Source organism: Homo sapiens, chromosome 7 (assembly GCF_000001405.40).
Source record: "Homo sapiens chromosome 7, GRCh38.p14 Primary Assembly".
Classification (NCBI taxonomy): Eukaryota; Metazoa; Chordata; class Mammalia; order Primates; family Hominidae; genus Homo; species Homo sapiens.
This window is the reverse complement of record NC_000007.14, coordinates 56307117-56328934: the sequence shown is the minus strand read 5'-3', so window position 1 is coordinate 56328934 and position 21818 is coordinate 56307117.

Genomic DNA, 21818 nt, shown 5'->3' with positions numbered 1-21818 from the left:
TGTTTCGCCATGTTGGCCAGGCTGATCTCAAACTCCTGACCTCAAGTGATCCGTCCACTTCGGCCTCCCAAAGTGCTGGGATTACAGGCGTGAACCACCTCGCCCTGCAGGAGTTGATTTTAATTATGAACGATGATTAAGGAAGGCAGTGGACACATAGAGAGTGACAGTGAGGTGATGAGGCCAAATGGAGAGTTCTGGAACGAGAGAGGAGAGGTCAGTGGGGAACTGTCTGAAGTCTCCTTTCTGGGTGATGGAGGGTCCCAGGTGTGACCACAGGCAGGGAGAAGTGGCTGAGAGGCACACTCGAAAAGGTCACTGGAGCTGCAGCAGTCCTGGTGCCCAGAGAGACAGGGAGTAGCCTGGCCTGTCCACGTGGGTGACGTCACCCTCAGGGAGTAGCCTGGCCTGTCCACGTGGGTGATGACGCCCTCAGGGAGTAGCCTGGCATGTCCACGTGGGTGACAATGCCAACGTCTTGTATGAAATCACTGTTGCAAACCTCCTGGGGAATGTAGACGGGTTGCCAGGCAGCAACCCCTCTAACGAGATGACAAGAATGATGGAGAACACTGTCAACTGACAGCCCAAGTCCTCAGTGGATGAGGAGGTGTAAGCGGAAGACCAGCAGACAGCAGTCACCGAGAGGGACAGCAGGTGACTCTGCTGCCTTTGGAAGAGAAATGTCTTGGACGCAACCACAGGAAGCATGGAGGATACAGACCCTACTTTAGATTCTGCAGTATGTGGGGTATAGGAGAAAAAAAAGACTCCCTGCACCAGACGGTGCCAGCGGAATTGGGGTCCTGAACAGAGTCTCTGTCCTTTGAAGGTCACTGAACCAACAGGGGAAGGTGAGGCATGACGAAAACAGCCGTGGATGTCCAGCCGCAGTGGCTTACACCTGTCATCCCAGCACTTTGGGAGGCCAAGGAGGGTGGATCACCTGAGGTCGGGAGTTCAAGATTAGCCTGGCCAACATGGGGAAGCCCCATCTCTACTAAAAATACAAAAATTAGCTGGGCATGATGGCGGGCACCTGTAATCCCAGCTACCTGGGAGGCTGAGGCAGGAGAATCACTTAAACCCAGGAGGCAGTGGTTGCAGTGAGCCGAGAGCACGCCACAGCACTCCAGCCTGGGCAACAAGAGCGAAACTCTGTCGGGAAGGGGAGAAGAGGGGAGGGGAGAGGAGGGGAGAAGGAAGGAAGGATAGAAGGAAAGACGGAAAGCAGGAAGGAAGGGAGTGAGAGAGAGAGAAAGAAGAAAGAGAGAGAAGAAAGAAAGAAAAAGAAAGAAAAAGAAAAAGGAAGAAAAAAGAAAGAAAGGAGAAGAAAAGAAGGGAGAAAGAAAGAAAGAAGGAAAGAAAGAAAGAAAAGAAAGAAAGAAAGAAAGAAAGAAAGAAAGAAAGAAAGAAAGGAAGGAAGGAAGGAAGGAAGGAAGAAGGAAGGAAGGAAGGAAGGAAGGAAAGAAAAGAAAAAGAAAATAACCGTGGATGACCTCAGACGGCTGCAGGTGACATTTCAAGCTGTGAGTTTGAAGAGTGTGGATGCTCCAGGCAACTGTGGGGTAACTGCGCCCACTGGTGGCCATATATGGCTAAAGCAAGTACAAGTCCAGACACACCTGGAGAACAGGTGCCATCACCTGAAAGCAACAGTAACCACGACAACAAGGCCAGGTGCAGAACCCAGGTCTCCCCTCATTATTAGAACCTGTGGAGAGATCATGAACGTATTCCCCGATAAGTTCATTTTCAGGGGTAAAAAAGCTCAACAATCTCCCACAGTGTCACTTCTCCCAGGAATATGTGTATGTTGCCCTTGACAAACTGTTGCCCTTGATGAAGAAATGTACCAGTTTCCAATGGCAGCATATTTAATTGAGGAAAGATCTCATTAACAGATGTAAGTCCAGGGTCTCAGCATCAGAATTTCTCTTCAGTGTTTCATTATAAAAACGTTTGGGGTGTGGGGCTTACACCTGTAATCCTAACACTTTGGGAGGCCGAGGTGGGAGGATCACTTGAGGACAAGAGTTTGAGACCAGCCTGGGTAATTAGCCAAATGCAGTGAAGTGCACTTGTAGTTTCAGCTTCTTGGGAGGCTGAGAAGGGAGCGTCCCTTGAGCCCAGGAGTTGGAGGCTGCAGTGAGCTAGGATCACATCACTGCACTCCAGCCCGGGAAACAAAGCAAGACCCTGTCTCTAAAAAATAAATGAATTAACACTTATAAGAAATGTTCAAACTTAATGAAAAGTTGAAAGAATTTTTCAGTGAACAACCATACCCACCTCTGAAGTCTACAATTATCATTTCATTATGCTCAGTTTATCATAAAATCTATTCAACTATCCATCCCTCAAACCATCCTATTTGGAGGCATTTCAAAATGAATTGCGGCATTAGTACATTTCACCCCTAAACACTTCAGCACACATAACAAGACTCTCATATTTATTTATAGTCCTTTTTTCTTTGGACATAAAATACGCATATAGGTCAGGCGCTGTGGCTCAAGCCTGTAATCCCAGCACTTTGGGAGGCCGAGGTGGGTGGATCCCTTGAGCTCAGGAGTTTAAGATCAGCCTGGGCAATATGGTGAAACCCCATTTCTACTAAAAATACAAAAATTAGCTGGGTATGGTGGCACATGCCTGTAATCCCAGCTACTCGGGAGGCTGAGGTGGGAGAATCACTTGAACCCGGGAGGCAGAGGTTGAAGTGAGCTGAGATGGGCTGAAATCTGCTTCCTGGGAACACTTATCTTGTTGATTCGGCACCATGCGCCACATGAAGTGAGTTCTGATTCCTCTTCCTTATGAAAGCTCTTAAACTGTCCAAAGATGGCCATTCTGTCCCTTTGAGTCACTTCATCTGATACAGAATCTCCAGTTTCTCTACCTGTTCATGCCCAGGCAAAGCTTCCAGCACTCAGCACTTCACTGGCTAGGCTTTCATGTTTGCAAGGGCGCTGACGCATCTCATCTTTCTATGTCAGTGGAAGAAAATAGACGGTTCAGAGCTGGCCTGCAGTGACAAAGAGAAACAAGGCCTGTTTGCGGTGGATATGATTGGATGGCCAGGACAGGAAGCCAGGACCTGGAAGGAGAGCAAACAAAATGAGTTTTTCAAAAAGCTAGATGACAGTGAAACCATGCAGAGATCAAAAACGGTGCAACAGGAAACTAGGAAAGCAGAAAACAGAAATAGTGTAATTTTGTAACATTAACAGGGGTAAGTAACATGACATTAGTGATATTTCACAGGGGATATTGGTCAGTGCCTGCAGCAAAATGTTTGAATGCCTTTTAATTGCAAAATTAATGCTTGCATAAGTTTTCTTTGTTAAAAAATGAAAACAATTCAGATAAGTCTAAAATGTCCCTGTCCCTACTGTCCTTCCTTCCCTACCCAATTCCAGAAGTGTGTGTGTATGAGCAGGTGCATGGGTGAGCATTTGCATGTGTGTGTGTGTGTATATATATGTGTGTGCATATATATACACATATATGTATATGTGTGTATATATGATGTACACATGTATACATGTGTATATGCATGTATATGTACACATGTATACATGCATCTGTGTATATATGCATATATACATATATGTGTACATGCATCTGTGTATATATGCATATATACATATATGTGTACATACACATGCATATGTGTACATAAATATATGTAGGTATGCATAGATACGTGTGCATATACATATGTGCAAATATATATCTATATACACATATCTATGTACACATACATATCTATGTACACATATCTATGTATACATATATTTATGTATATATACATACACGTATATATCTATACACGTGTATGCATATATATATAGAGAGAGAGAGAGAAAATGAAAGAGAGAGAATAGAGATTTATTGTAAGGAATTGGTAAGGAATAGGTATGTATACATAGGTTTATGTATATATACATAAGTGTATATATCTATATATATTTGTGTGTGTGTGTATATATATATATATATAGAGAGAGAGAGAGAGAGAGAGAGACAGAAAGAGAGAGAAGAGAGATTTATTATAAGGAATTGGGTCACACAATTGTGGAAGCTGGCAAGTCCAAAATATGCAGACAGGGTAACTCCAGCCATCAGTGTGGAGACCCAGGGAAGAAGTGATGTTGCACCCTGAGTCCAAAGAAAGCCTGGAGGCGTAATTCCTTCTTCCTTGGGGGAGGTCAGCCTTATTTCTTTTAAGGCCTTCAACTGATTAAGTGAGGCCCATCCCGCTATGGAGAGTAATCTGTTTTATTCAAAGTACACTGATCTAAATGTTAATCTTACCTAAATAATACCTTTACAAAAACATCTAAGATACTCTTCGGCCATGCCTAGCCATGCGGTATTTAAAATTAACTGTCGCAATATGGAATGCATATAAACATTCCTATATAATTAAAATATGCTATATTTTGTGTGCATTATTTAAATGTTATTATAGCATACGACCTGCTTTTATCACTCAAAGTTATGATTAGAGTTCTTTCTTTAATAGGAAATAAAGGAATACCTCATTCTTTCTCAATGTTATGCTTAGAGTTATTTTCTTAAGAAGAAATAAAGAAATACTTCATCCTCGCTTTCTACATCATATTCTGTTCTATGGCTATATCCTGATTTATTTAGCCATTACTCTAAGAATTGGCATTATATTATTCCCAGCTGGTGAGCTGCTTGATCATGAATTCAAGCAAACTTCTTGAATTCTTTTAAAATGGAGGTCAATATTCTGTTCCTGGGCAGGTGCGGTGGCTCATGCCTGTAATCCCAGCACTTTGGGAGGCCAAGGTGTAAGGCTCACTTTAGGCCAGGAGTTTGAGACCGGACTAGGCAATGTGGTGAAATCCTGTTACTACAAAAAATACACAAATTAGCTGGGCATGGTGGCATGCATCTGTAGTCCCAGCTACTGGGAGGCTGAGTTTGGAGGATCACTTGAGCTGAAGAGGTGAAGGCTGCAGTGAGCCATGTTCAGTGCACTGCACTTCAGCCTGGACACTGGAGTGAGAGGAAGGAAGGAAGGAAGGAAGGAAGGAAGGAAGGAAGGAAGGAAGGAAGGAAAGAAGGAAAGAAGGAAGGAAGGAAGGAGGGAAATAAAGAAAGAAGGAAGGATGGAAGGGAAGGAAGGAAGGAAGGGAAGGAAAGAAGGAAAGGAAGGAAGGGGAAGAAAGAAAAATGAAAGAAAGAGAGAAAGAGAAAGAAAGAGAGAGAGAGAAAAAGAAAAAAGAGAGAAAGAGAAAGAGAGAGAAAAAGAAAGAAAGAAAAAAGAAAGAAAGAAAGAAAGAAAAAGAAAGAAAGAAAGAAAGAAAGAAAGAAAGAAAGAAAGAAAGAAAGAAAGAAAGAAAAAGAGAAAAAGAGAAAAAGAAAGAATTTTGTCCCAGGAAGAGGGCCGGCTTGATGTGGTTCCAGCAAACTGACACAGGCCAAAGTGTGCATGTTACAGAGAAGATCAGGAGGGTGTCAGGACTTCCAAACACCCTGGAGCAAATTCTGGAGGCCCACCTGTTGCCGTTGATGTGGCGGATCCCAGCATACGAGGAGCAAAGGAGAGAGGACCTTCTTCTGGCTCTGAGAGTCCATAACCCTTTGAGGAAGATTAAGCAACAGGCACATTCTCACATTTATTTAATCTTTAACACCCCTACTGGCTAGGTATTGTTAACTGAATATCACAGATGAAGGACCCAAGGCCAGACAACTAAAGGCTATGCCTGGCCTAATACATTTTCCACTACAGTGCTCCCTGATGGTGGACTTTCATATCAAAAAAGCACAAGCAGTTACAAGCAGTAGCAGTAATAGAAGTAAAAATGATGGCAATAATGCCATGCAATAGAATGCTTATTATATGCCCAGCTGGGTTCTCAGTGTTTGGCGTGTAGCAACTCAATGAATTTCTGCAACAGCGTCATAAAGTAAGTACTATTATTAATTCTATCTTGCAGATTAAGAAACTAAGTGTGGCTGAGAATATAGATGGCAGACATTTCCTTCAGATCTTACAACTTAGAAGGGCTCTGGATAATTTGCAATTGCTAGTACCTGTGTCTCTTTTTCTGGAGGCCTTTTTCTGATGCCAGGAAGGTCCGCTGTACTTGCTTTCAAGGCAAAGAGAAGTGCCGAGACCAGCTCAGTCAGGGAGACCCTAACCGAGTGGTGCTAGAGGAATTAAAGACACACACACAGAAATATAGAGGTGTAAAGTGGGAAATCAGGGGTCTCACAGCCTTCAGAGCTGAGAGCCCCGAACAGAGATTTACCCATGTATTTATTAACAGCAAACCAGTCATTAGCATTGTTTCTATAGATATTCAATTAACTAAAAGTATCCCTTATGGGAAATGAAGGGATGGCCCGAAATAAAGGGATGGGTCTGGCTAGTTATCTGCAGCAGGAACATGCCCTTAAGGCACAGATCACTCATGCTATTGTTTATGGTTTAAGAATGCCTTTAAGTGGTTTTCTGTCCTGGGCAGGCCAGGTGTTCCTTGCTTTCATTCCAGTAAACTCACAACCTTCCAGCATGGGCGTTATGGCCATCATGAGCATGTCACAGTGCTGCAGAGATTTTGTTTATGGCCAGTTTTGGGGCCAGTTTATGGCCAGATTTTGGGGGGCCTGCTCCCAATATGTCCCCATTCTTTGATTTGCAAATCAATACAAGCAAAGGCAGCTTTGTCATGGTGAGCTACTTCTCTCAGGAGTCAGGATCCACATCTGCAGACTACACAAAGACAAACAACACAGATTAAAAGCACAATCATCATTGAAATCACAGAGCTTCCAAGTGTTTTTATCCATTTTAATGGGTTACTAGCTGCTAATCTGTCTGCAGCTCCTTTAAGCACTCCAGTTCCTGGCATTAAGGTCAGGTGTGCCTGGGATGCTTTAAATATTTGTTCTTTTAATTTTGCAATATCCAAAAACAAATTCATAGAGTGTCTTTCTAGATGCTTTTTTATTCTTTCCCAAATTTTGATCTTATTAAGAGCTATTAATAGTTTCCACAAATCCTTAATGTTTAGCTCCTACAGTGGGCCATATCATTTGAGGTTGAGGTGCCACTATACTGCCACGGTTCCAGATAATAGGAACTCTTGCCATACTTATTATATCTACCATCTGATCATTTTGTTCAGATCAGCTGAATATAGTGTGGCTGTGGCACATGGACTGAGAGGTGCAATTTAAGCTAAACATCCCCTTAGGGGATCAATTAATAATGATTCCATAGGAATCATTGTGCAGCATCTCTGCATGTTCTGCAATGCAATCTTCCTAAACAAGTACGTTCATTTTCTCTGGCCAGGTCCAGTTCTGTTTACGGATAGGTTTTTGAGGGCGGTATGCCTCAATTATAGGAGCAGATTTGTTATGGTAAATACTGAGATCAGAAAACATGTGTAACTGCATCATAGAGTGATTACATCCAGGCATTATTGCCAGCGAAGATTGATAAATATGCCCAATAAGTATAATTGTTCCCTGTGTCAGCCCTTATTGAAGGAATACTCACAGCAGTGGTGATAACCGCTATCATAGCTACCATTAAATTACTCATTGTGACTGGTTGTCCTGCTTTCTTCAGGTTTTCTTCTGCCATCTGTGGCAGCTTCTTGGTCTGTCCCCAGGTGGGTGGCTGTGTTTGTTGGGTGTTGCTCGTGACAGTTGGGGTCCTCCTCAGCATCAGCCTTAACATGGCTGCAACCAGGGGGGTCCTCAGGATCCTTCCAGAATCTCTTCCTTGGCATCTGGTTCATGATAAGGTTTCAGGTGTCTTGATGGTCTCCAAATCAGCTGCTGGTTCTGGCCTGGAGAAACACAAGCATAGCCTGTACCCCAAGTTATTATTTTACCTATTTCCCAACTTTTTGTTATCGGATCTCTCCACCAAACCAGTTGTTCTGCTTCTGTCTTTGCAGCTGGTTTCTGTAGATGCTGTTCAGCTGCTGATAACATCTGGCTTTTCGGCAGGCTCAAAAAATTTAAAGTTAATAATGCTAGATTCAGTTGTGTATGGGCTGTCCTGTAATCCCTGTTTCTCCCCCTTTTTTGTTTTTGTCATCAGTTATTCATCTGTTTGACATTGTAACTGAGCATTTTTAATTAACTGTGTGGAATGAACCACATATGAAGAATCAGAAATCACATTAATAGGTATATTAAAAGCAGTCAATACCTCAATTACAGCTACAAGCTCCGCTTTTTGAGCTGAAGTATAGGGCATCTGGAAAACTTTAGTTTTTGTTCCAGAATAAGAAGCTTTACCATTACTAGACCCATCTGTAAAAACATTCTCAGCACCTTCAATTGGTTTAAATTTAGTTATTTTAGGGAGAATCCAATTAGCTAATTTCAAAAACTGAAACAGTTTCATTTTAGGAAAATGATTATCAAGAATACCCAGAAAGTCAGCTAAATGGGTTTGCCAAATAAGACTACTTATAAAAGCTTGCTGTATTTGTGCCTTTGTGAGAGGGACAATAATTTTTCCAGGATCATATCCATGTAATTTAACAATCCGAGTTCTCCCAATCCCTATCATAGTAGCGATTTTATCTAAATAAGGAGTTAGAGTCCGTGAATTATTATATGGAAGAAAAAGCCACTCTACTAAGTCCTGTTCTTGGACAATAACACCAGTAGATGAATGCTGAGTTGAAAAAAATTAGCAAATCTAGAGCCTTCTCTGGATCTATTCCATTTATCTGAGCTTTATGGACTTGCTTCTCAATTAGTTGTAACTCTGCCTCAGCCTCCTTTGTTAATTGCTGAGGGCTAGTGAGACTAGGATTTCCTCTAAGGATAGAAAACAGATTACTCATGGCATAGGTAGGAATGCCTAGAGCAGATCATATCCAATTAATGTCCCCTAGTAATTTTTGAAAGTCATTTAATGTTTTCAATTGATCCCTACACATGGTTACTTTCTGTGGCACAATGGTAGTGTCATTTACTAAGGTCCCCAAGTAGGAGTAAGGAGTAGTAGTCTGAATTTTGTCAGGAGCTACAATTAAACCAGCATGAGAAATAGAATTTTGCAAGTGATCATAACATTGGAGTAATATTTCTCGAGTGGGGACAACACAAAATATATCATCCATATAATGAATAATGTAACACTGAAAATTTTTTATGAGTAGGTTCAATTGCTTGCCCTACATATGTCTGGCAAATTGTTGGACTGTTTGACATGCCTCGTGGCAATACTTTCCAGTGATAATGCTTAGTAGGCTGCAGGTTATTTACTGCAGGAATTGTAAATGCAAACCGTTCACAGTCTTACTCAGCTAAAGGGATAGTAAATAAACAGTCTTTTAAATCTATGACTATTAAAGGCCAATTTTTGGAATTATAGCAGAAGGTAATCCTGGCTGTAATGCTCCCATACGTTGTATAACTGAATTGATGGCTCTTAAGTCAGTTAACGTTCTCCATTTACCTGATTTTTTCTTAATTATGAAAACTGGAGAATTCCAAGGGGAAAATGTTGGAGTTATGTGCCCATTTTCTAATTGTTCAGTAACTAATTCCTCTAAAGCCTCCAGTTTCTCTTTACTTAGTGGCCATTGTTCTATCCAAATTGGCTTATCTGTTAACCATTTTAAAGGTATAGGTTCTGGAGGCTTAACAATGACCACCATCAAAAATCATATCCTAATCTTTGGCGGGAACTTTGTCTTTTCACTTGAAGAGGTTTTTTCTAACCTTGGAAATTTTTTTCTAGTCCCATACCAGGGACATACCCCATTTCATGCATTGTATGTTGACTTTGAGGGCTATATAATTGTTCTGGAATTAGAACTTGTGCTCTCCATTGTTATAATAAATCTCTTCCCTATAAATTTATAGGTACAGAAGTTATAATTGGTTGAATAGTCCCAGGTTGTCCATTGGGCCCTTCACAATGCAAAATATAACTACTTTGATATACTTCAGGGGCTTTACCAACTCCAACTATGTTAAATTGAGTGGGTTGAATTGGCCACGTGGACAACCAGTGCTGTAGAGAAATGATTGAAAGGTCCGCTCCTGTATCCACCAAACCTTTAAATTTCTTTCCTTGAATAGTTATTTCACAGGTAGGACGTTTATCAGTAATTCGATTCACCCAATAAGCTGCTTTGCCTTGTTTATTTGTGCTTCCAAATCCTCCTGTTCGTTTAATTTCACTTTTTCCCATTCCTACATACGGCACAATCAGGAGCTGTGCTATGCACTCTCCTGGCTCTGCTTTCCAGGGAACAGAACTAGGTACAACAATTTGAATTTCCCCATTGTAATCTGAATCAATGACTCCTGTATGTATTTGCACCCCTTTTAAATTTAAACTAGACCTTCCTAGAAGTAATCCTATTGTCCCTGCTGGCAAGGGTCCACAGACTCCTGTTGGGACCTTTTGTGGGGATTCCCCAGGCAGAAGGCTCACAGCTTTTGTGCAGCATAAATCTACTGTGGCACTACTGGCTGTGGCAGAGGACAGACATTGTACAGGGGTGAGGGAACGGCCTGAGCCGGAAATGCCTCGGTTTGGAATGGGGCCCACGACAGGCCCCTCATGGCATTTCTCGAAATGGGGTTCCCATCTTTATCAAACTTAGAGTGGCATTGATTAGCTCAGTGTTTTCCTTTTTTACATTTTGGACATATTTCTGGCTCAGCAGTTTTCTTTTTTCCCCTATCTGGTGGCCTGACTCGCTGATTTTTTCTACGTTCTTTTTTAGTATGACCATGCTTCCCACAGTTAAAACAAGCTCCAGGAAATGGAGTATTTCCTTCATCCACTCTCAGTCCTGCCATTGCCTGTGCCAACAAGGTAGCTTTATGCAGATTACCTCCGATACCATCACAGGCCTTGATATAATCAACTAAATGTGCTTTCTCAAATTTAAAAGGAAAAGGCTCAAATGTAGCTATAATATTTCCCTGTTGATCTGGGGGGCGTATTTTAACAGGGAACTGCCAAGCCTCTAAATCACTCTCTCATCTAGCTTGCTGAATTCCTGCCTGAATAGAACTGAGAGTGGTCGCTCAACGCGCTGCTCAGTCAGTCACTGGGGCAACTATTTTCGCCCAGCGTCCTCCGGAAAAGAAAGATCTGGAGGGCCTTTTTCTTCAAAATAATAATGAGGTGGTGCAGAAGGGTAGATATGAACCTCTCCCCCCTTTGCCGCTTTAGCTTTAGATGGCAAATAAACCTGCTCTGTAACCTCTTCTGTTACTTCATTATACTCTCCTTCCTCCTCATCATCAGTGTGAAAAAGTTCCAGCGTGGAACGAACCAGACCCCACACTTGTCCCATTGTTACCCTGATGCTTCCGAGCTCCCCTTCTTACTCACCACAGGGATTGCTTTAAGAGTACTCGGGGGTCCTCCAGCTAGTTCCACATTCTCCAACTGTTGCTCTGGTGACCCTTCAACCTGGATTCGAGCCCCCACGATGGACGCCACTTGCCAAGACCATCTCAGTCGGGGAGACCCTAACCCAGCGGCACTAGAGGAATTAAAGACACACACAGAAATATAGAGGTGTAAAGTGGGAAATCAGGGGTCTCACAGCCTTCAGAGCTGAGAGCCCCGAACAGAGATTTACCCACGTATTTATGAACAGCAAGCCAGTCATTAGCATTGTTTCTATAGATATTCGATTAACTAAAAGTATCCCTTATGAGAAACAAAGGGATGGGCTGAAATAAAGGGGTAGGTCTGGCTAGTTATCTGCAGAGGAACATGCTCTTAAGGCACAGATCACTCATGCTATTGTTTGTGGTTTAAGAACACCTTTAAGCGGCTTTCTGCCCTGATGGGCCAGGTGTTCCTTGCCCTCATTCCGGTAAACCCACAACCTTCCAGCATGGGCTTTATGGCCATCATGAACATGTCACAGTGCTGCAGAGATTTTGTTTATGGCCAATTTTGGGGCCAGTTTATGGCCAGATTTTGGGGGGCTTGTATCCAGAAGTACACGCCACTGACTCAAGGATTGTTACTATCCATGTTCCTTCCTCATAAGAACTGACCTGACCTGAGTGGTTATTCAGCTCTATATTCACTCAGACAGGTACTCATCTACTAAACATTATTTAACACAGCATTAATACCAATGTCATAAGACTGTAAGCAGGGTATTTGGGTTTTCGCCTGATCCCACTGTATAAAAATTTTTTGCCTTCACTATGCCTCAGTTTTCTATCTGTAAAATGGGCATGATCAACCCTCAGTGAGTTAAACTGATGATTAAAACAGATAATAGGGTAGGTGCGGTGGCTCACGCCTGTAATCCCAGCATTTTGGGAGGCCGAGGCGGGTGGATCATCTGAGGTTAGGAGTTCCAGACCAGCCTTGCCAACATGGCGAAGCCCTATCCATACTGAATACATAAAAATTAGCTGGGCATGGTGTCATGTGCCTATAATCTCAGCTACTTGAGAGGCAGAGGCAGGAGAATTGCTTGAACCCGGGAGGTAGAGGTTGTGGTGAGCTGAGATCACTCCACAGCACTCCAGCCTAGGAGACAGAGTGAGATCCATCTCAAAATAATAATAATAATAATAAAACAGATAATAATTTAAGGTGTATGGTTTAGTTCATGGATATTACAAGCCACTCCCACACTTAGTGACTTAAAGCAAGGTTTGCAAGTTGTTTTTGTGAAGAGAGAGAGAGGCAATATTTTAAGCTTTGCAGGCCATACGGTGTTTGCTGCAACTATTCAACTCTGTTATCATATGAAAGCAGCTATAGATAATACATAAAGGAAGGAGTGAGGCTGTGTTCCAACAAAATAATATTCACAAAACAGGAGACAGACCAGATTTGGTCCACAGGCCGTAGTTTGCCAACTCCTGACTTAAAACAACTATTTATTTGCCTTTTGTTGGTTTATAATTTGGATGAGGCTCAGCTAGGCTTGCTTATGTGTCTGAAGTCAGCTGCTGGGCCAGCTGGTTTGGTTAATCTAAGATGACCTCAGCTGGGAGGACATGACTAGGCTCCATGTTTCTTTCATCCTCCAGCAGGCTAGTTCGGGCTTGCTAAAATGGAGACCAGACAGGGCTCCAGGAAACTGTGTAGAAATATGCTAGGTTTCAGGGCTAGGCATGGTGGCTCATGCCTGTAATCCCAGCACTTTGGGAGGCCGAGGCAGGTGGATCACCTGAGATCAGGAGTTCGAGACCAGCCTGGCCAACATGGTGAAACCCCGTCTCTACTAAAAATATAAAAAATTAGCCAGGCAGGGTGGTGGGCACCTGTAATCTCAGCTACTGGGGAGGCCGAGGCAGGAGAATTTCTTGTACCTGGGAGGCAGAGTTTGCAGTGAACTGAGATAGCACAACCACACTCCAACCTGGGCAAGAAGAGCTTAACTCCATCTCAAAAAAAAAAAAAAAGAAAGAAAAGAAAAAGAAAATAAATATGCAAGGATTCTTGAGGTCTAGGCATAATGTCTGTCACATGCTCTTGGTCAGACTAAGCCACAAGGCCAGCCTAGATGCCATGGTTGGGGAAACTGACTCCATTACTTGAGGAAAACACTGTAGATTCATACTGCAAAGGAAAATGCATACAGGGAGGGAAATTAGCACAACCATGTTTGCAAACCACTTGCACATTAGCACATAAGAAGTGCTCCCTAAATGTTAACTAGTAGCCTGGACCTACTCTGCAGCTTGTTCTGTGGTAGAAATAGAAGAGATGATAAAGCTATAAAATCTAAGCTTTGAGATGCTTACAGTCCAAAATGTTAAATAAGCTTTGTGCACAAATAACTATAACAAAGAATAAAAATAAGAAATGATTCTTCAGCTTGGGATTCAGAGCTCAAGAAATATCAGCAACTAGGAGGTAGGAGATAAAAAGTTCTGATAAGTTTGCTGAGAATGATGGCTTCCAGCTTCATCCATGTCCCTGTAAAGGACATGAACTCAGAAAACCAAACACTGCATGTTCTTACTCATAAGTGGGAGTTGAACAATGAGAACACATGGACACAGGGAGAGGAACATCATTCATCAGGGCCTGTTGGGGGGTGGGAGGCAAGGTGAGGGAGAGCATTAGGACAAATACCTAATGCATGCAGGGCTTAAAACCTAGATGATGGGTTGATAGGTGCAGCAAACCACCATGGCACATGTATACCTATGTAACACACCTGCATGTTCCACACATGTATCCCAGAACTTAGAGTAAAATAAATTTAAAAAAACTTCTGGAGCAGGGGAGGAGCCAAGAAGGCCAAATAGGAACAGCTCCAGTCTACAGTTCCCAGCATGAGTGACACACAAGACAGGTGATTTCTGCATTTCCAACTGAGGTACCAGGTTCATCTCACTGGGGAGTGCCGGACAGTGGGTGCAGGACAGTGGGTGCAGCGCAACATGTGTGAGCTGAAGCAGGGTGAGGCATCGCTTCACCAGGGAAGCTCAAGGAGTCAGGGAATTCCCTTTCCTACTCAAAGAAAGGGGTGACAGACAGCACCTGGAAAATAGGGTCACTCCCACCCTAATACTGCGCTTTTCCAACGGGCTTAACAAACAGCACGCCAGGAGATTATATCCCGCATCTGGTCCTATGCCCACAGTCTCGCTCATTGCTAGCACAGCAGTCTGAGATCAAACTGCAAGGCGGCAGCGAGGCTTGGGGAGGGGTGCCCGCCATTGCTGAGGCTTGAGTAGGTAAACAAAGCGGCCGGGAATCTCGAACTGGGTGGAGCCCACCACAGCTCAAGGAGGCCTGCCTGCCTCTGTAGGCTCCACCTCTGGGGACAGGGCACAGACAAACAAAAGGCAGCAGTAACCTCTGCAGACTTAAATGTACCTGTCTGACAGCTTTAAAGAGAGTAGTGGTTCTCCCAGCACGCAGCTTGAGATCTGAGAATGGGCAGACTGCCTCCTCAAGTGGGTCCCTGACCCCCAAGTAGCCTAACTGGGAGGCACCCCTAGTAGGGGCAGACTGACACCTCACATGCCTGGGAACTCCTCTGAGACAAAACTTCCAGAGGAACGATCAGGCAGCAGCATTTGTGGTTCACCAATATCCGCAGTTCTGCAGCCACCACTGCTGATACCCAGGCAAACAGGGTCTGGAGTGGACCTCCAGCAAACTCGAACAGAGCTGCAGTGGAGGGTCCTGACTGTTAGAAGGAAAACTAACAAACAGAAAGGACATCCACACCAACACCCCATCTGTACGTCACCATCATCAAAGACCAAAGGTAGATAAAACCACAAAGATGGGGAAAAAACAGAGCAGAAAAACTGGAAACTCTAAAAATCAGAGCGCCTCTCCTCCTCCAAAGGAATGCAGCTCCTCACCAGCAATGCAACAAAGCTGGATGGAGAATGACTTTGATGAGTTGAGAGAAGAAGTCTTCAGATGATCAAACTACGCTGAGCTAAAGGAGGAAGTTCGAACCCATGGCAAAGAAGTTTAAAACCTTGAAAAAAAATTAGACGAATGGCTAACTAGAATAACTAATGCAGAGAAGTTCTTAAAGGACCTGATGGAGCTGAAAACCATGGCACGAGAACTACGTGACGAATGCACAAACCTCAGTAGCCGATTTGATCAACTGGAAGAAAGGGTAGCAGTGATGGAAGATCAAATGAATGAAATGAAGCAAGAAGAGAAGTTTAGAGAAAAAAGAATAAAAAGAAATGAACAAAGCCTCCAAGAAATATGGGACTATGTGAAAAGACCAATTCTATGTCTGACTGGTGTACCTGAAAGTGACAGGAGAATGGAACCAAGTTGGAAAACACTCCACAGGATATTATCCATGAGAACTTCCCCAATCTAGCAAGGCAGGCCAACATTCAGATTCAGGAAATACAGAGAACGCCATGAAGATACTCCTAGAGAACAGCAACTCCAAGACACATAATTGTCAGATTCACCAAAGTTGAAATGAAGGAAAAAATGTTAAGGGCAGCCAGAGAGAAAGGTCGGGTTACCCACAAACGGAAGCCCATCAGACTAACAGGTGATCTCTCGGCAGAAACTCTTCAAGCCAGAAGAGAGTGGGGGCCAATATTCAACATTCTTAAAGAAAAGAATTTTCAACCCAGAATTTCATATCCAGTCAAACTAAGCTTCATAAGTGAAGGAGAAATAAAATCCTTTACAGACAAACAAATGCTGAGAGATTTTGTCACCACCAGGCCTGCCCTAAAAGAGCTCCTGAAGGAAGCACTAAACATGGAAAGGAACAACCGGTACCAGTCACTGCAAAAACATGCCAAATTATAAAGACCACTGAGGCTAGGAAGAAACTGCATCAACTAATGAGCAAAATAACCAGCTAACATCATAATGACAGGATCACATTCACACATAACAATATTAACTTTAAATGTAAATGGGCTAAATGCTCCAATTAAAAGACACAGACTGGTAAATTGGATAAAGAGTCAAGACCCATCAGTGTGCTGTATTCAGGAAACCCATCTCAAGTGCAGAGACACACATAGGCTCAAAATAAAGGGACAGAGGAAGATCTACCAAGCAAATGGAAAACAAAAAAAGGCAAGGGTTGCAATCCTAGTCTCTGATAAAACAGATTTTAAACCAACAAAGATCAAAAGAGACAAAGCCATTACATAATGGTAAAGGGATCAATTCAACAAGAAGAGCTAACTATTCTAAATATGTATGCACCCACTACAGGAGCACCCAGATTCATAAAGCAAGTCCTCAGTGACCTACAAAGAGACTTAGACTCCCACACAATAATAATGGGAGATTTAACACCCCACTGTCAACATTAGACAGATCAACGAGACAGAAAGTTAACAAGGATATCCAGGAATTGAACTCAACTCTGCACCAAGTGGACCTAATAGACATCTACAGAACTCTCCAGCCCAAATCAACAGAATATACATTCTTTTTAGCACCACACCACACCTATTCCAAAATTGACCACATAGTTGGAAGTAAAGCACTCCTCAGCAAATGTAAAAGAACAGAAGTTATAACAAATTGTCTCTCAGACCACAGTGCAATCAAACTAGAACTCAGGTTTAAGAAACTCACTCAAAACCGCTCAACTACATGGAAACTGAACAACCTGCTCCTGAATGACTACTGACTACATAAAGAAATGAAGGCAGAAATAAAGATGTTCTTTGAAACCAATGAGAACAAAGACACAACATACCAGAATCTCTGGGACACATTCAAAGCAGTGTGTAGAGGGAAATTTATAGCACTAAATGCCCACAAGAGAAAGCAGGAAAGATCTAAAATTGACACCTTAACATCACAATTAAAAGAACTAGAGAAGCAAGAGCAAACACATTCAAAAGCTAGCAGAAGGCAAGAAATAACTAAGATCAGAGCAGAACTGAAGGAAATAGAGACACAAAAAACCCTTCAAAAAATCAATGAATCCAGGAGCTGGTTTTTTGAAAAGATCAACAAAATTCATAGACCACTAGCAAGACTAATAAAGAAGAAAAGAGAGAAGAATCAAATAGATGCAATAAAAAATGATAAAGGGGATATCACCACTGATCCCACAGAAATACAAACTACCATCAGAGAATACTATAAACACCTCTACACAAATAAACTAGAAAATCTAGAAGAAATGGATAAATTCCTCGATACATACACCCTCCCAAGACTAAACCAGGAAGAAGTTGAATCTCTGAATAGACCAATAACAGGCTCTGAAATTGAGGTAATAATTAATAGCTTACCAACCAAAAAAAGTCCAGGGCCAGATGGATTCACAGCTGAATTCTACCAGAGGTACAAGGAGGAGCTGGTACCATTCCTTCTGAAACTATTCCAATCAATAGAAAAAGAGGGAATCCTCCCTAACTCATTTTATGAGGCCAGCATCATCCTGATACCAAAGCCTGGCAGAGACACAACCAAAAAAGAGAATTTTAGACCAATATCCTTGATGAACATTGATGCAAAAATCCTCAATAAAATACTGGCAAACTGAATCCAGCAGCACATCAAAAAGCTTATCCACCATGATCAAGTGGGCTTCATCCCTGGGATGCAAGGCTGGTTCAACATACGCAAATCAATAAACGTAATCCAGCATATAAACAGAACCAAAGACAAAAACCACATGATTATCTCAATAGATGCAGAAAAGGCCTTTGACAAAATTCAACAACCTTCATGCTAAAAACTCTCAATAAATTGATGGGACGTATCTCAAAATAATAAGAGCTATCCATGACAAACCCACAGCCAATATCATACTGAATGGGCAAAAACTGGAAGCATTCCCTTTGAAAACTGGCACAAGACAGGGATGCCCTCTCTCACCACTCCTATTCAACATAGTGTTGGAAGTTCTGGCCAGGGCAGTCAGGCAGGAGAAGGAAATAAAGGGTATTCAATTAGGAAAAGAGGAAGTCAAATTGTCCCTGTTTGCAGATGACATGATTGTGTATCTAGAAAACCCCAGCATCTCAGCCCAAAATCTCCTTAAGCTGATAAGCAACTTCAGCAAAGTCTCAGGATACAAAATCAATGAGCAAAAATCACAAGAATTCTTATACACCAATAACAGACAAACAGAGAGCCAAATCATGAGTGAACTCCCATTCACAATTGCTTCAAAGAGAATAAAATACCTAGGAATCCAACTTACAAGGGATGTGAAGGACCTCTTCAAGGAGAACTACAAACCACTGCTCAAGGAAATAAAAGAGGATACAAACAAATGGAAGAACATTCCATGCTCATGGGTAGGAAGAATCAATATCGTGAAAATGGCCATACTTCCCAAGGTAATTTATAGATTCAATGCCATCCCCATCAAGCTAACAATGACTTTCTTCACAGAATTGGAAAAAACTACTTGAAAGTTCATATGGAACCAAAAAAGAGCCCACATCGCCAAGTCAATCCTAAGCCAAAAGAACAAAGCTGGAGGCATCATGCTACCTGACTTCAAACTATACTACAAGGCCACAGTAAGCAAAACAGCATGGTACTGGTACCAAAACAGAGATATAGACCAATGGAACAGAACAGAGCCCTCAGAAATAATGCCACATATCTACAACTGTCTGATCTTTGACAAACCTGACAAAAACAAGAAATGGGGAAAGGATTCCCTACTTAATAAATGGTGCTAGGAAAACTGGCTAGCCATATATAGAAAACTGAAACTGGATCCCTTCCTTACACTTTATACACAAATTAATTCAAGATGGATTAAAGACTTACATGTTAGACCTAAAACCATAAAAACCCTAGAAGAAAACCTAGGCAATACCATTCAGGACATAGGCATGGGCAAGGACTTCATGACTAAAACACCAAAAGCAATGGCAACAAAAGCCAAAATTGACAAATGGGATCTAATTAAACTAAAGAGCTTCTGCACAGCAAAAGAAACTACCATCAGAGTGAACAGGCAACCTACAGAAGGGGAGAAAATTTTTGCAATCTACTCATCTGACAATGGGTTGATATCCAGAATCTACAATGAACTCAAACAAATTTACAAGAGAAAAACAAACAACCCCATCAAAAAGTGAGTGAAGGATATGAACAGACACTTCTCAAAAGAAGACATTTATGCAGCCAAAAGACACATGAAAAAATGCTCATCATCACTGGCCATCAGAGAAATGCAAATCAAAACCACAGTAAGATACCATCTCACACCAGTTAGAATGGCGATCATTCAAAGGTCAGGAAACAACAGGTGCTGGAGAGGATGTGGAGAAAGAGGAACACTTTTACACTGTTGGTGGGACTGTAAACTAGTTCAACCATTGTGGAAGTCAGTGTGGTGATTCCTCAGGGATCTAGAACTAGAAATACCATTTGACCCAGCAACCCCATTACTGGGTATATACCCAAAGGATTATAAATCATGCTGCTATAAAGACACATGAACACGTATGTTTATTGCGGCACTATTCACAGTAGCAAAGACTTGGAACCAACCCAAATGTCCAACAATGATAGACTGGATTAAGAAAATGTGACACATATACACCATGGAATACTATGCAGCCATAAAAAAAGATGAGTTCTTGTCCTTTGTAGGGACATGGATGAAGCTGGAAACCATCATTCTCAGCAAACTATCGCAAGGACAAAAAACCAAACACCGCATATTCTCACTCATAGGTGAGAACTGAACAATGAGAACACATGGACACAGGAAGGGGAACATCACACACCAGGGTCTGTTGTGGTGTAGGGGGAAGGGGGGAGGGATAGCATTAGGAGATATACCTAATGTTAAATGATGAGTTAATGGGTGCAGCACACCAACATGGCACATGTATACATATGTAACAAAGCTGCAGGTTGTGCACATGTACCTTAAAACTTAAAGTATAATAATAATAAAATAAAAAAATTAAAAACTTCTGGGCTGGGTGCAGTGGCTCATGCCTGTAATCCCAGCCCTTTGGGAGGCCGAGGCGAGCAGATCACGAGGTCATGAGATCGAGATCATCCTGGCCAAAATGATGAAACCTTGTCTCTACTAAAAAAAAAAAAAAAAAAAAAAAAAACACGAAAATCAGCCAGGCATGGTGGTGCGTGCCTGTAATCCCACCTACTTGGGAGGCTGAGGCAGGAGAATCGCTTGAACCGGGAAGGCAGAGATTGCAGTGAGCTGAGATTGCACCACTGCACTCCAGCCTGGCAACAGAGTGAGACTCCATCTCGAAAAAAAAAAAAAAAGTTCTGTTAAGTTTATGGACCACATAGGGACTATATCTCAAAACTCTTCATGACAAAATAGACTTATATAGTATTCTAGGCCCCAGATGCCTCAATGGATAGTGTTATGGCCCTCATTCTCATGATGGCAGACTCCCCACCAGGGTTGCCTTCCACAGTCACCCCTGTTTTATTCCATTTGACTGTTATACCAAAGTATCATAGACCGGGTGGTTTACAAACAAGGGAAATTTATTTCTTACAGTGTTGGAAGCTTGAAGTCCAAGATCAAGGTGCCTGGCCTCTCTTCTGATTTATTCAAAAGAAATCAAGAATTTCTTTTTGGCATAGCTGTTAAAGTATATGGTAAGAGTGAGATCTGGTGGTGCTGAGATCTTTGAGGCTGGTGATGCCATTGGAGATAGGGTAGACTAGGGAAGGAGTTAAGTTTGGGGAAAGAAATCAAGAATTTACTTTTGGCATAAGATACCTGTTAATGTAAGTGGTAAGGTGAGATCTGGTGTCTAGTGACAGCCCATTCCTGATTTATATTAATAGATAACTGTATTTTTGCTATGTACTCACATGGCAGAAGGAATGAGGGGATACTTCGCATTTTATTAAAAATTTCTTTTTATTTTTAATTTTTGTAGGTACATAGTAGGTATATATATTTATGGGGTACATGAGATGTTTTGATTCAGGCATGCAATTGTAATAATTACATCATGGAGAACGGGGTATTCATCCCTTCAAGCATTTTTCTTTTTTTCTTTTTTATTGTTTTTTGAGATAGAGTCTTGCTCTTGTCACCCAGGCTGGAGTGCAATGCCACAATCTTGGCTCACTGCAACCTCCACCTCCTTGGTTCAAGCAATTCTCCTGCCTCAGACTCCTGAGTAGCTGGGATTACAGGCAAGCACCATTACACCTGGCTACTTTTTGTATTTTTAGTAGAGACACGGTTTCACCATGTTGGCCAGGCTGGTCTCAAACTCCTGACCTCAAGTGATCTGCCCGTCTCGGCCTCTCAAAGTTCTGGGATTACAGGCATGAACCACCACACCTGGCCCCCTCAAGCATTTTTGATAAAGGCACTTATCCCACTCACTACAGCTCCACC